The sequence below is a fragment of the Homo sapiens genome, chromosome 20 (genome assembly GCF_000001405.40).
Source record: "Homo sapiens chromosome 20, GRCh38.p14 Primary Assembly".
In the NCBI taxonomy this organism is placed as follows: Eukaryota; Metazoa; Chordata; class Mammalia; order Primates; family Hominidae; genus Homo; species Homo sapiens.
In genome coordinates this window covers 1,224,602-1,240,293 of record NC_000020.11, presented here as the reverse complement: position 1 = coordinate 1,240,293, position 15,692 = coordinate 1,224,602, and the positions used below count along the sequence as shown (strand labels likewise).

The following is a 15,692-nucleotide window of genomic DNA, read 5'->3' as shown; positions in this document are numbered from 1 at the left end:
GTAAAAAAAACCAGTTAGGATGCAGGCTAGAGGACTGTATGAGAATTAAAGATAAAGATAAACTAACTGAAGATTTATATTACTAACTGGAACATCTGAATTCTTAGAACCATTTATTTAATAGAGCTGAAGAGGCTTACAGATTATATGGTGTGGGACCCACAGTATTCGAGTGAGTCAAGTATCATCATCCCCTTTTGCACATGAGACATCTAAGGGTGGGCTAAAGTCACAGCAGATGTGAAAACAGTGGCAGCAACTACAGTAAATGACTGATAACAATTTGACTATATGTCTGCTAAAAAAAAATTCTATTCTGTTAAATCACTTATCAGTTGATCCATAAAAAACCATAAGTAAAATTTTATTACTTTTAGCTCTTTGTATTTTCAGTTTCTACTGTTGTTTTTAGAAAGCAAATATAACATCAAAAATTGTGGCAAATAAAAAATGGGGCTAATTGTACTTTTAATTCTTAAGAAAAATCAGACTAAAATACCTCAAATCATCTGAGGTACTTCCGTATGAATTTCAAATAGGGAAAATATCCTCAATTTGTAATTTCTCTCAAATTGTATGTAGATTATCAAACCATACTAGTTAATAAATTTTCTTACCATTTACCATATACTATTTTAATAATTCAAAAAGCACAATATATTGGCAGAGTTCTCTCATGCTAAGCCCAATCCTGGCTAAATACCCTTCAGTGTACCTTTATCAGAATCCAATTTCCTATTTTATATTGTCTACAGTCAGACTAACAGAGTCTGAAAGACATTGTTCTTTATCTTTCACTATACTATATTGCTACTTAAATTCAGAAGTTCTGAGGCTTAAACATTAGTAACCCATTACTTTCTCATAAAGGAAAATTTCAACCTACCTGCTAAACTATTGGGAGGCTCAGAAGGCAGGGAAATTTCTCTGTTCAAATGCATGTCTTCTAACAGGATATTCTGATCATCTTGCAATAGATTGTCTTGAAAAACACAATGAATATTTTTTCATACAGACTGGAATCTGTCATTTGTTCACTAAACATTTATTAATGTTACTTTATGCATTTCATTGTAAAGGAATAACCAGATCTTTAATGTGAACTAGAGAATTTTAAAAAAGATTTGATAGGAACAGCCAATAAATAATCTTTAAAACGTGCATTTTGGCTGGGCGCAGTGGCTCACTCCTATAATCCCAGCACATTGGGAAGCTGAGGCGGGTGGATCACCTGAGGTCAGGAGTTTGAGATCAGCCTGACCAACATGGTGAAACCCCATCTCTACTAAAACTAGAAAAAAAATTAGCTGGACATTGTGGTGGGCACCTGTAATCCCAGCTATTCAGGAGGCTGAGGCAGAAGAATCACTTGAACCCAGGTGGCAGAGGTTGCATTGAGCCAAGATGGTGCCATTGCACTCCAGCCTGGGCGACACAGCAAGGCTCCGTCTCAAAAATAATAATAATAATAATAAATAAAACATGTGCATTTGGACTTCTTAGTTTTTCTCTACCCGATTTCTATGACTATTTTATAATGTGAAATAGTCTATGTTAAGAGTAAAACAAATAAAACTGATAAAATAAAGAAGGCAATAAATTGGTAGAAGGCCTTGAGGATAGGTAGAGGTATTTGATACAGTAAGTCATGGGGACCCAAGGCCTTAAGCAGGGGAATATAAATATAAAATAATAATATAAAATTCTGGAAAATAACTTAGCTGCCCCACAATGTATGTTAAAGAAAACAATGTTTTCCAGTACATAGCCTAGTATATTTTATAAGGAATATACTAACCTCACTCTCTCCCCTCCAAAAATTAGGAATTTGTAAAAATAAAAACAAGCAGTAGTTCATAACCTCTATAGAAAATATATTTAAACAGACGGCTATTTACTTAGGCCTAGCCTAAATGTTTAAACATGCCACAGACTTTGAAAACTTGTATAAAAAAAAGTATTGACCTACATAACACAAAAACATATTTGAAATTTTAGATTGATATAATAAATCTACTAATATATTGTAGTAATTTGATGAAAATAAATATTTTATTTCCACATGACCAGATAGCATACCAATCATTTCTCCTGCAGCTCCTTCATCTCCAAACCCATCTCCACTGTCATAGAATAGAGATCGTTCTCCAGTGAGGCTTCCAGAACTATGTTCAATTAAAGGACCACTGGAATTCAGTAATATGTTGTCATCAAAGAAGCTATGTCTTCTGAGAATTTCAGATTCCTCCCCTAAATAAATATATATCATTAATACTAATTCATAGAAACACAGAATTATAGGGTTAGAAGGAAATTCAGATATCATCTAGCATAATCTTGTCATCCAACACCTCATTTTATAGATGAAGAGAATGGCTGAAAGACTTACTTGAATTATTCAACTAAGGTCACTCAATCAGTAGAGACATGATTTTTAGTCTAATGCCCTTTCAAATACAATGGAAAAAATGCCAACATATTACATAGAGTTTATAGTTGTGATATAGTTTAATAACTTCCTAAGGTAAAAGTACTATGGAAAATAATTTATTCTATTTTAGGTAAGTAAGTTCTGCTTGACCAAGTATATTTCATAGTATTTCAAGGACAATTGCTTGTAGTGTTCATGCATAGTGGAGGTTTGGAAAATAAGGAACATGTTAGTCATCTCAGGAAATGGAAACGTAGGTAAAATATTAAAGAATGGGCTTACAACATTCATTCAATAAATATCGAATATGCTAGGAGGCAGTGATAGAGGTCCGTTAAAAAAAAAAAAAGACAAACCCAGTCAGCTAACAGTAACCGAGTGTTTATAGTATGTATTATATTATGTAATAGAAGATACTATTATAATTCTCATTGTACAGATGAGGAAACACATCCACAGAAAGGTTTTGTAACTTGCACACAGTCACACTATAATAAATGACAAGAGTCAGGATCTGAACCCAGCTCTCTCTGACTCCAGAGCCTGCATCCTGACAATCACAACACTACACTGATAGTTCCAGGGGACCAGAAGTCAGCTCTTGACCAGACATCAGTTATTTCCCTCTCTTGGGTTTGAATCTCTAGGTCCAGGAGTCTGAAACCCCAGAGGTCCAAGGTTAGTCTTCTCCTCCCTCTAACAACCCATGTTAGTGTTAGACAGTAAAGAAAATCATGAAGTATTACCCATATTGAAAATTCTTCTATAGACCTAAATCTTCTAGAATGGAAGAGTGGAAAAAAACAACTATCATGACAATGGATTAAAGAATTGCTCAGAAGAAAAGACTAAATTACTTTTTCAAAAACTAAGAATGTATTCATATCATCTAGGTACAGCTTGATAGCTCCCAAAGGAAAAGCCAGCGTTGGTCAATCAGAGAATAAGACTTATGAAGACACTATATTCTCAGCATTGAACATCACAAGAATATCAGATTATACAAAATACATAAAAGAAATAATCATTGCCTTTGATCTTATATTACAATCCAGAATAAGATGGATTAATTTTAAATATTTCTTAGAGGACATTAGGTTTGAAGCAGTTTTTATAGAAGAGAAAAATCACATATTGGTGAAGAAGATTAAAGGAAGGAATAAGGGGAATAACCCTATGATGTTGTTAGTTATATCCCAACTTTACAAATAGGGACAGTAAGGCTCAAAGAGGTTAGGCAATCTGCCCAGTGTCACACAGGAAATCAATAGAGAAAGTTCAGATTCAAACCCAAATCTGCCCATTTACTAAGAACATGTTCTTCCCACCTTTTAAAATTGTAAAGGAAGATACAGAAATGTGAACAACTAAATTGTATTTGTTGGGTGGTAAGACATTTGCTTGACTAGAGCAAAAAGTCCACATTAAGAGTAAAACAAAGCTGATAAAATAAAGAAGGTGATAAATTGGCAGAGGGCCTTGAGTATAGGTAGAAGTATGTGATACAGTAAGTTATAGGGACCCAAGGCACTTAAGCAGAGGAATGTGATATATCAAAAATGGAATTTAAAGACAATTGCTCTTACAAAGATGTATAAAATGTGGGAAGAGACTGGAGGAAGATTTGTAGGAGGGTATTGCAGTACTCCAGGTCTTTGGTACTGGTGAACTATATCACTGGCTAAGGAAATAGAAAAAAGATCTAAGAGACATTTCAGAATTAAAAAACAAACAAACAAACAAACAACCCAGCACTAGTATGAAGCTGACAGAAAGTATAGTTAAAAGTGATCCTGGCCGGGCACGGTAGGTCATGCCTGCAATCCCAGCACTTTGGGAGGCTGAGGTGGGTGGATCACCTGAGGTCAGGAGTTCAAAACCAGCCTGGCCAACATGGTGAAACTCCATCTCTACTAAAAATACAAAAATTAGCCGAGTGCGGAGGTGCATGCCTGTAGTCCCAGCTACTCCAGAGGCGGAGGCAGGAGAATCGCTTGAGCCTGAGAGGCAGAGGTTGCAGTGAGCCGAGATCGTGCCACTGCACTGCAGCCTGGGTGACAGAACAAGACCCCATTTAAAAAAAAAAAAAAGTGATCCTAAAGTTTCAAGCCCAAATAAGAATAGTAGGGGAATTTGTAAAGAGTGTCTTGGGAGTAGGGAATATGATTACCTCTTTGCCAATGTGTTGCAATTCTGGGTCTGGGGTTATAGCCAGTAAGAGATCAGTGCTACTTAAAGTATAATCTGTGGACTGGTACTGGTCCACAAGAAAGAAAATACAGAAATAAAAGCACATTTTCAGAAAGTTTTACAGAAATTTGACAGAGCAATTTTATATATGTTGACTCTAATAACAAAACTTAAGACTTGTATTTTGATTTTTAAATTTTTAATTTTTCTAATAATTCATTTTATTGTATTTTACACAGTAAAATACAATACAGATTGAAAATGGACAAATATTAGAAAACTGGTCCTTCACCACAGGCTGAGAAACACAGCTACAGATATGGCAAGAGTTACGGAAGCAGAGTAAGGATGAGAAGCTGAGGTTAGAGATGTCGCTCAAGCATTACTTTCTTGACTCCCCTCCCCGACCAAGATAGACATAGGCCATCTTTCTCCTATACTCATTGTTTTGGGCACTATAGGAAACTCAAATATGAACATTACACAGATTCTATCCTCATGGAGTTTGTAGACCAAGACAAGAGGTGTATAAATATCATGATATAAGACAGGGAGTAGGAGATGCCAGAAAAAAAGATCAAATACTCTATAGTTAAATTACACCATATTGCTTCCATTTTAAAGTACACTAGCCAGGCACAGTGGCTCATGCCTGTAAACCCAACAATTTGGGAGTCTGAGGCAGGAGGATTGCTTGAGCCTAGAGGTTCAAGACCAGCCTGGGCAACATAGCAAGACCCTGTCTTTACAAAAAAGTTTTAAAAAATTAGCTGAGTGTGGTGGCATGCACTTGCAGTCCCAGCTACTCAGGAGGCTGAGGCGGGAAGATTGTGAGCCCAGGTCAAGGCTTCAGTAAGCCATGATCATGCATTCCAACCTGGGTGACAAGAACAAAACCCTGTGTCAAAAAAAAAATTTAAAAATAAAGTACAATCGCCTTGCCCAAACAAGAGTTTAACATTTTAAAAATCAGTTTCTGTTTCACAATCAATATATACATTTAGTGTGGTAGCATTTCCTCTTCCTCACCCCCAGGCTGATTTAAAAGGCATTATTTTACAATTGATATTATCATATACCAGAAGAAATATATTTTGAAGGCATTTCATGCAGCATACATATAAAATCTTGTATGTATGTTGACCATCTTAACTGTTTATTTATGTGTCTCTCTCACACCCAGAATCTCCTTGAGGGCAGGAACTGCTTCTTTAAATTTTGGTACTGCCCTGTCTATTGATAGCACCTGATACAGAGTAGGTATTCAGTAAATGGTTATACACTGAGAATAGAAGTATATCCTAAGACTGAGTCTTGGCATTGACATCTATACTAGAAAAAGGCAAGGAAAAATGTATTGGGAATTACATTTACACATCAAAAGATTCATTCTATAGCTACGTCTACTGGCATTATTTCAATACACAAATACAAATATAATTGATTATAATTTGTAATTTTGAGTTCTCAAATATTCTCACCAAAGCTCTCAGCTTGGAAAATTAGATCATTGTCAAAATTTTCTCTAAGAGTGATTTCTTCTGGTCTGCTTTGGTTCTGAGTAAAGTGTTCTGAAACATCAATAGCACTATGGAGAAATAGAAGGTTGAGAAAAACATGAGAACAGAAAACAATGATACTGTAAAAATATCATTGATATAGTGAAGAAACTAAAACAACTTTCATTTTCTCAATAGTATTATTTATAAACACTAGTTTATTATATATACATGTATATAAATAATCTCTAGGCTTCCAAATCCAGTGGTCAATTTTCAGTCCCTTATCTTATTTGCACAAACAAACAGCACTTGACTTAGATGTTGACTTTTGCTATGGCCTAAATGTTTGTGTCTTCTTCACCTCAAATGCATATTTTGAAATCTAATCTCCAATGTGATGGTATTAGGAGGTGGGAGCTTTGGGAGATAATTAGGTCATGAGGGCAGATTCCCATGAATGAGATTAGTGCCTTTATAAAAGAGGCCCCAGGAAGCTGCCTCAATCTACCATGTGAGAATACGGTGAGAAGGTTGCCATCTATGAATCAGGAAGCAGGCCATCACCAGACGATGAATCTGCTGGCAAGTTTATCTGGAATTTCTCAGCCTCCAGAATGATGATAACTAAATTTCTATTGTTAATAAGCCACCCAGTTTATGGTATTTTGTTACAGCAGCCCAAACAGACTAAACAACTCCCTTCCTCATGGAATACATTCTTCTCTTGGCCTCTGAGGTATCACTATTTCTCGATTTTCTTCCTACCTGCTCCTTTTCTGTTCCTAATATCCCAGACTAACTACTGGGAATGACCAAATACTAAGTCCTCAGATCCCTCTCTCTCTTTACTTTTTTTAAATGTATACTCACTACCTTGGGGATCTCTTAGAGTCCATGGTTGAAGTTCCATCTATACACTCACAACTTGCAAATTTATACATCCACTTCAGACCTCTCTCCTGAATTTCAGACCCGGAGAGTCAACTACTTACCTACTCCCTTCGATATTGTGTTAGTCCATTCGGGCCACTAGAATAAAATAACTTAGATTGGGTAACTGATAAACAACAGAAATTTATTGCTCACAGTCCTGGAGGATGTGAAGTACAAGATCAAGGTGCCAGCAGATTTGGTGTCTGGTGAGGGCCTGTTCCTCATAGATGGTGTCTTTTTGCTGTGACCTCACACAGTGGAAGGGACAAGAAAACTCCTACAGGTCTCTTTTATAAGGGAACTAATCTCACTTATGATGGTGGAGCCCTTATGACCTAATCACTTCTCTTATGACTTAATCACCTCTCTTATGACCTAATCACTTCCAACTCTTTTGTTGTTGTTGTTCCTAAAAGGTCATTCTGGCTTCAGAGCCCCACCTCTTAATACCATCACCTTGAAGGTTAGGTTTCAACATATGAATTTTAGGGGAACACATGCATTTAGACCATAACAGATGTGTAACAGTCATCCCAAAACTTATATGCAAAACCTAGTTTACTTCCTTCTCTCTGCCCCCTTTAAATCTGATTATACTAATCTTATGAAGTGTTAAGTCTGTTCTCATGCCAAAAATCATATAGTATCCTTCATTTTCTCTTAAAGCTATATGCAATTCATCAGCAAATTCTCCTGGCTTCGCTTTCCAGATATATCTGTAACTTGACTGCTACCACCTGGGTGAGATGATGACTGAGAACTGATCATAGATACTGCATTCTCTTATCTGGACTTCTTACTACAATAACTTTCTCATGTGCTTTCTGATTCCTCCCTTTCCCCTTAGAGTAAGTAGCCAAAGGGATGATGTTGAAATCAAGTCAGATCCCGTCACTCCTCTATTCAAAACCTTCCTGTGTTCCCTGAGTAAAATAAAAGTCCCGCTGTAGTATATCACACCCTACATCATCTGTGTCTCCTGCTATCTCTCTGACCTCATCTCCTACCACTCAGCCTCTCATTTACTCCGCTAGAGTCTCACTTGCCTCCTTGCTGGTCCTTGAAAATGTCCAGTGTGTCCTGCTTTAGGGCCTTTCTACTTGCTCTTCCTAGAATATTCTTCCCCCACATTACTGATTTGTTCCTTTACCTCCTTCAGATTTGTTCTTACCTTTTCAGAAAAGCCTTTCCTGTCTTACTGTTTATTTATTTCATTTTCTGTTTCTCTTCACAATGGTGATCATTTCCTGACATATATTTATTCGTTTATTTATTAGCTACCCCAAATAAAATTTAAGATCCATGAGGCCAGCAGCTATGTTTAATTCACTGCTATCTCCTCAGTGCCTAGAACAGTTTCCGGCATATGGAAGGCACTCAGTGAATATTTACTGAATGAATAGATGAATATACTGTCAATATTGCAAACTATATTCAATAAATAAAATGACACACTTTTGTTGTTGTACTTTGGGAGTTTATACCAAATATAAGTCTTTATCAATTACATCTGTACTTGTGCAGTTGTTAACTACATTCCATTTGACTCAATTAAATTTGAATATAAAAACAAATATCAAGAAAATTAAATCGAAGGAAAATAAATAAAATATTTTACTTCATATTTTGGGTGTCAAAATCATGAAATTCTTCTGGCAATGTGATAGCATTGTAAGATGCTTCAAAATTCTCTTTTGGAAGGTCAACCAGTCCTGAAAAGGATCAAAAACCATACTCAATAAGCAACAATGCTATATAAAACAAAGAACTCCCAACTAACTCTATATTCTTTTACTGGACTACTGCTTATTCTAACTAGTTTTCCTCTATCTACTCCTACCCTTGTGTAGTCCATTCTCTATAAAGCAGACAGAGTAATATTTTAAAAAACTAATCAGATTAGATGCCTTAAAATGATTTAGTGACTTCTCCAGTGCATTTAATAAAATCAAAATTTCTAATTGGAGCCTCTGTAACCCTAAAAACCTAAGAGGCATCATCTAGTGACATTCACCATACTGACCATACTAGCCTTTTTGTTCCCTGAAAAAGTCAAGCATTTTTCCACCTCAAGACCTTTGCTCTTGCAGTTTCCTCCGCCTAGAATGCTATTCCCTCAGGGACTTTTTACATGGCTGGGTAGTTCTCATTTTTCAAGTCTGAGCTTAAATTCTATCTTCTCAGAAAGGCTTTTCCCAATTATTTTAACTAAAGTGAACTTCTCTGTTATTTTATGTTGTAGCACTTTATTTTCCTTTATAGCACAATTACAATTTACAATTACTGTAATGTTTTAAAAATACTTTAATTATCTGATTTCCTCACCTGACTGAAAAGGATCTTATTTATCTTGTTTGTCTTTATATCCCAGAGCCTAACATAGTGTTTGGTACAAAGTATGAAATCAATGAATATTTGTGGAATATGTAAAAAAATAATAAACGAACAAATGAACCATACTTGATATGAATATAAATCCACCTAGAGATTATATGAATATTTTAAATGAAGAAGATTAAAAAAAATCTGTCAATCCTGATTCAACAAATGTTGATTGAGGAAATGGTATGTGCAAGGCACTGAGACAGATATTATAAGAGATTCAGAAAATAATTATGACAAAGACCTTGCCTTCAAGAAGCTTGAAGACTAGTGACAGAGGCAAGATCCATACCTAAGTAGCCATAATACAAGGTAGAAAATAAAAAATGTCTTCAAAGTGAAACAGATGGTATATAAATTTTGAAGGTATTATATTTATGACATATGTAAATCTCTGGCACTTTGGAATGCTTAGGAATTTTTGATATGTCATAAATAGCAAGCTGCTTGGAATCTTGAGAATTCTGAAAACAATTACTGATATCTCTGTTTTGTCAATCACACTATTTCTAATTTCTCTTATAAAGGCAAAAACAGGCACGACAAACTAAATGACCCATTAAAAACAGAATATCAGAGTTTCTTATGCAAGTGTAGTGGCTTTAAGTATATGTCTTCCATAAATATGCAGGAACATTACAAGTTTTGGAAAGCATAACCTTTTCCTGCAGGTATAGAAAAAGAGCAAGGAAATGAATACAATTTATCCTCAACCATGGAAACTTAGATTCATTCAAAACTAAGTTTACATTCACCATACTAGCCTGAAGTATATTAAAAGATCCCACCCCCAATTAAAATGCAAAAGGGAACCAAGAAGGAGACAAATCAATATTACATGTATACCTGGGCAAAATGTCATCTTCATTTTAAGAAATGCTTCACTGCAATCTGCCAAAAGATATTTTGCCTTCCTGTTATAGATTCGAACAACTCCCAAAAGAAGGTGTCCTGAAGTTCGAAGTGCTATTTTCACCTTTCAATAATTTTTGAAGTATTAGAAGAGTAAAGATTAGGTTCATAAATCCTATTCTTTGAAAGTTACTGACATCGTAAGAATTGGTTCTCTTAAAAAAGCAGATATTTTGTATTCTTAGTTAAAGTATATCACTTTTTACCTTACCTTGCAAAATGATTTTTTTATTCTTATTCAAGGAAGTTAATCTAATATGGCATTTAAGTAAAGTATACTATTATTGGTATTATGAGAGGAATATAAACTCTGTAGTCAGAATTGGGTTCAGGTCTTGGTTCAGTTGCTGAGGCTGTCACTTAACCTTCCTGAACTTCAGTTTAATAAAAATGGCTACAGCTTATTTTTTTATTATTATTGTTTTTTTGGAGACGGAGTCTCGCTCTGTCACCCAGGCTGGAGTGCAGTGGCGCAATCTTGGCTCACTGCAACCTCCGCCTCCCGGGTTCAAGCAATTCTCCTGCCTCAGCCTCCCTACAATTTATTATATACTTATTTTATGCCAGGCATTGTCCTAAGAGCTTTTGATACACTAATTTATTTAATTTTGACAACAACCTCTATTTACAGAAGAAAAAACTGAGACTCAGATATTTTAAGTAGGATGCCCAAAGTAACATATTAAGTGATAAAGCAATAATTAAATATAAATTTGACCAACTCAAAACATGCTAACTACAGTTCACAGAAGCTAAGAAAAGCCAACCTCATAGGGTTGTTGTAAAGATTAAATAGACTTATAGGCATAAAGTCCAGCCCAGTGCCTAACACACCATAGGCTTTCAATTTGTCCTTCTCTAAAGTTGAAAAATACTTAACTTAAAACAATATTAAATGCTGTAATGCAAATTCTAATCACTGTTTTAATGTTTTATAATGAACATAGTACTTTACTGTTTATGACACATTTTCACATATTTTTGGATTTATAACCAGTCCTCTTTCTATCCTCCCCATTTGTTCATTATTTTCTAAGAGATGCTTATTAAGTACTTACTATGTCAACTGTATTTTGTTAGTGAATAAGAAAGGAATATGAATACGCATAAAATATGGCCTTTGTCCCTTAGGGTCCAATCTATCTATGATAGACATATGAAAAAGTTAATTACCAACAGAAACCAATAGGTTTGTTATAACACTAAATGCTATAGGAATTAAAGGAAAGACCATTTGACAAGTAAAACTTCCTTGAAAATGTATTTCATGATATAAGTGTATCTTAATGTCTTTCCTCCTCCAAAGTCATGATAAATACAAGCTATCATTTTAATCAGTAACATACCTTGGGTGAAAGAATTTTTTCAATGGTTATCTCTAGATTACATTCAAATACATGGGCCTTTGTGAGTTTCTTCTCCCAGTGAGCTGCAAGCCATATTTTGGCCAATGGCCCTCGTTTACTCATAAGCACATGTGTGTAGAACATGTTGCCTGTGTTCCTTACTTGTATTTAACAAACTAGAGAGAACACGAAAAGAAATTTAAAATTTTATTACAAAAACTTTTTATTGCTATAAGAAAAATATGTATTAATTCTACAAAATAACATTCAGATTATGTTCTAATTCAATTATTCAATACAATTTATTCTCTTGTAAATAAGAGAAACTTATTTAGAATATAAAATTATAACCTAATGACAAAGCTCTAGTAAATTGTGAACTACACCTCTACACCGGGCTTAAATGCATCCTGATTAATGATTTCTTCATACATGTCACTTATTTTATCCAAAAAAGGATTTGAGTTCTCTTCTTACTAACATGGTCAAATAAAGGAGGAAGGCTGAAAATATAAGATATGGAAATAAGAAACAAGAATAGGAAAAGGTAGACAAAACCAAGAAAAGCTAATACAGGGCACCTCTTTTCTAAAACTTAATAATTTAAGAAGGATTGGATTATTGATTTATACGCAGGTGTTGAATTTCATTGCCCTCTTCAAGATACTCTGGTTTATTCAACAATATTTTAATTTTTGAAGTTAAAATCACGGGACTCCAAAAAGTGGAGTGGAGTGGAGTTTCCATTCCATAAAGTGGAAAAATGAAGAAAACAAGAAACTATAAGAAAATAATTAGAAGGCAAGGGAAGAAACACGAATCAAATTTAAATGTTTTGAAATAAGAACGATAAAAGAAAACCTTCACTTAAAACAAAGAGAAGGAATTAATGCACATTTTTACAAACTGTACTATTCTTGGTAACACCATAGGGCTCTATCACTAAGCTAAAGATGAGAAGGGATGTTATAGCACTTTGGTTGACTTCTAGGGAAGAATCAAATTATTGCTTACATATAAGTAATCTTACACTGCCACTATGGAAGCTTCTTTTTGCTTCTTTTCTACTTAAGATACTGATAAAAGAGAAAACTGAGCCAAGACGAACACAAAGTCGGCGAAAGAATTAAAAACTTAGGTAAACTTCCATCAGTGTCTATTTGTACCGCAAGAATTCAATCATTATGCCCCAACTAAAGGTGACGCAATCCGCCAAACCATGTTCCCCTACGGGGCAGCTGGAGATTTTAATGCATATGGCTTGTACCTTGCGCTGGTTCCACTACTTTCCTTTTTAGTCTGTGTGTTTCGCTCTCTCGGAATAAATTCCTATTTATCTTTTTAAATGGCTCCCAGTGGTGTGAGGTACTTTTAAAATGTACTTTTTGGCCTGGCGCAGTGGCTCACGCCTGTAATCCCAGCACTGTGGGAGGCTGAGGCGGGCGGATCACTTTGATGCCAGGAACTGGAGACCAGCCTGGCCAACATGGTGAAACCCCGTCTCTACTAAAAGTACAAAAAGTAGCCAGGCACGGTGGCGGGCGTCTGTAATCCCAGCTACTTGGGAGGCTGAGGCAGGAGAATCGCTCGAACCCGGGAGACGGAGGCTGCAATGAGCCGCGATCGCCCTACTGCACTCCAGCCTGGGCGACAGAGGGCGACTCCGTCTCAAAAAAATCAAATGTACTTTTTAAGTGATGGACTTCTTAAAAGAGAAAACAAACAAAGAAAAAACCCAAACCCTGAGATTTGCTATTCCTGAGACATTGATTTTCCCGAGCACATATTACCTAACCTTTTTCCCCTCCCCACAAAATACGCACACAAACTCCCCCCGCACCCTCCCGCCCCACGTCCCGGAGGCTTTTTCAGTCTCCAGATTGAACTGACTTCGTGCAACGTGAAGCCACCGGGATGGGGCCACTCCGTGGAAACCGGCCCGCAAAGGGCAGGGTGGCGGCGGTGGCGGGGAGGGAGCGAAGGGAGGGAGGAAGGGGTCGGAAGGGGACCGGGCGGGGACCCTGGGAGAGGGGCGTGGGGAGAGAGGGCTGAGCCGGGCAGGGCGAGACCCTTCCGGGCGTGAGGGAGGGGAAAGCAAAGTGCAGGGGCTGGGAAGAGCTGACGGCCACGCTCAGGGGCAGGGGGACGCCAAAGGCTCCTCCACAGACGACTCCTCAGAGTTCCGGGCCGGGTGCTCACAGAGGGAAACTGAGGCCACAGCGCCCATTTTCTTCCGCGTGCGGGCGAGGAGACCCCGGGTCGCGCCTCCAGCCCCAGCTGGGCTGCGGGCGACGACCTTTCTTCCTCAGGCGGGACCCTCCGGGCTTGGCGCCGCGAGCTAACACGGCGTGAGGCGCCGGCGCCGGGTGCGTGTGGGAATGTGGGTGGCGGCGGCCCCCATCTCCCAGCCCGCCTACAGCACTCGGGGTCCGGCCGGCCTCTCAGGCTGCGCCCTACTTTCAAAGCCTCGTCTGAGGTGTGGCGTGCCAGAGCAGGGGCTGCGAGGAGTCGCCAAGTCAGCTTGGCCGGGTTCTTGGCGCCGCTGGGCGTCTGCAATGCGCGGCAGGCGCGGGGCGGGGAGGGGCGGGGCGTGGAGAAGGCGGGGCAGTGGGCGAGGGCGGGGCGTGCAGGGGACGGGGCGGAGCAGTGGGCGAGGGGCGGGGCGTGCAGGGGACGGGGCGGGGCAGTGGGCGAGGGCGGGGCGTGCAGGGGACGGGGCGGGGCGTGCAGGAGACGGGGCGGGGCAGTGGGCGATGGACGGGACTGACAGGGGATGGGGCGGGGCAGTGGGCGAGGGGCGGGGCGTGCAGGGGATGGAGAGGGACGGGCAGGACATGGGGAGGGGCGTGGAGGGGTATGGACGGGCGGGGCGGGGCAGTGGCTGAGGGACCGGGGGCAGGGGGCGGGGAAGGGCGGGCCAGCGACCGAGGGACTGGGCGCGGCGGCGGCGGCGGCGGCTGGGGGTACGGACAGAGTAGGGCAGTGCGCTAGAGTGGAGAGGACCGGGACTGAGAGGGACGAGGGCGCAGGGCGTTGGTGGGGACAGTGGACGGGGCAGGAGGGATAGAGTCAGACAGTGAGCAAGGCGCACCGGTCCTAGTGCGCAGTCTCCGGCTTTGTCCTGGCGCTCGGACCTGAGACACCTGAGCAGGGGCATGACAGGGATGGGGCCTGGGCCCCATAGTCCTGTTGTGAAAGGTGATCTTTCTGGCTGATCTCTGAACATCCCTATGATGCAGTCCAGTCTCTTCTCTTCCACTTATAGCTGGAGGTCACTGGAGAAATTCTTTAATCCCTTGAACCTCAGATTTTCTCATCTGTAAAGTGAAAATAATAAAAGTACTCGCGCCGTAGGATATTGTAAGAAATAAATAAAATGAACCATGAAAAGAGCCAAGCAATAATAAGTGCTCTACAAATATTAGCTATTATTATTATTGTTATTATTAAAAAGATTATTCACATTGACCTGCCCTTTGGGGACAGCAAATATTTTCCAGCCTGGAATATCACAGTTCTCAGTAGTCAAGGCCAAGTGCTAGAACCTGAGAAAAATCCTGCAAGAGCATCAGGATGCAAGGCTGGTTTCCTCTCTTGAGTTTGATAGTAAATACTAATAAATCTTGGAGCGGCAATGGCATCCAATATAAGGTTATTGATAAGGTTCAGGCTCCTGGCTGGGCATTTTCATGGGTTGTCTCATTGACTCTTCAAACAATCTCACAAAAGTAGTTACTGGTTTTCCCCTTTTGAATAAGGAAAGGGCTGGAGAAAAAATAGCAACCTGTCTAGGGTCACGTGGTTGGGAATTGTAGAGACAGGATTCAAATTGAATTCAAATTGAAGTTTAGCTCCCAATTTCCGACCTCAGGAAATGATGTCACGGCAACCATTCAAGAGGATGTCTGGGAGACACCCTTGGTGCCACCCTCATGTCTACTTCAATGCCAGCCCATCAGCAAGCCCATCACTCCACCTTCAAATATGACTTTCATC

At 39.0% G+C, this 15,692-nt stretch overlaps 1 protein-coding gene across 14 annotated transcripts in view, besides 1 other annotated feature; it reads right to left on the bottom strand.

Moving 5' to 3' along the window:
- RAD21L1 (RAD21 cohesin complex component like 1) overlaps positions 1-14,250 on the bottom strand; it is a 29,833-nt gene extending 15,583 nt beyond the window's left edge. For 5 of the 14 annotated variants that reach the window (XR_937124.2, XM_006723602.3, XM_006723604.3 and 2 more), the window contains exons 1-7: positions 14,154-14,250; positions 11,697-11,872; positions 10,285-10,414; positions 8,675-8,768; positions 6,103-6,209; positions 2,080-2,250; positions 887-982 (exon numbers count right to left, since the gene is read on the bottom strand). Coding sequence is in view for 13 of the 14 variants with exons in the window: in XM_006723602.3 (XP_006723665.1) it covers positions 887-982; positions 2,080-2,250; positions 6,103-6,209; positions 8,675-8,768; positions 10,285-10,414; positions 11,697-11,840 (742 nt within the window). In the remaining variant the exon portion in view is untranslated. The other 9 variants (XM_006723603.3, XM_047440371.1, NM_001136566.3 and 6 more) reach the window with 8 other exon arrangements.
- Positions 13,989-14,038: a silencer, noted in NCBI's record as "silent region_12587". NCBI's record gives its function as "represses an Ori minimal core promoter by ATAC-STARR-seq in GM12878 lymphoblastoid cells {active_cell/tissue: GM12878}" and the evidence as "EXISTENCE:reporter gene assay evidence [ECO:0000049][PMID:35858748]".
- Positions 14,251-15,692: the final 1,442 nt, after the last annotated feature.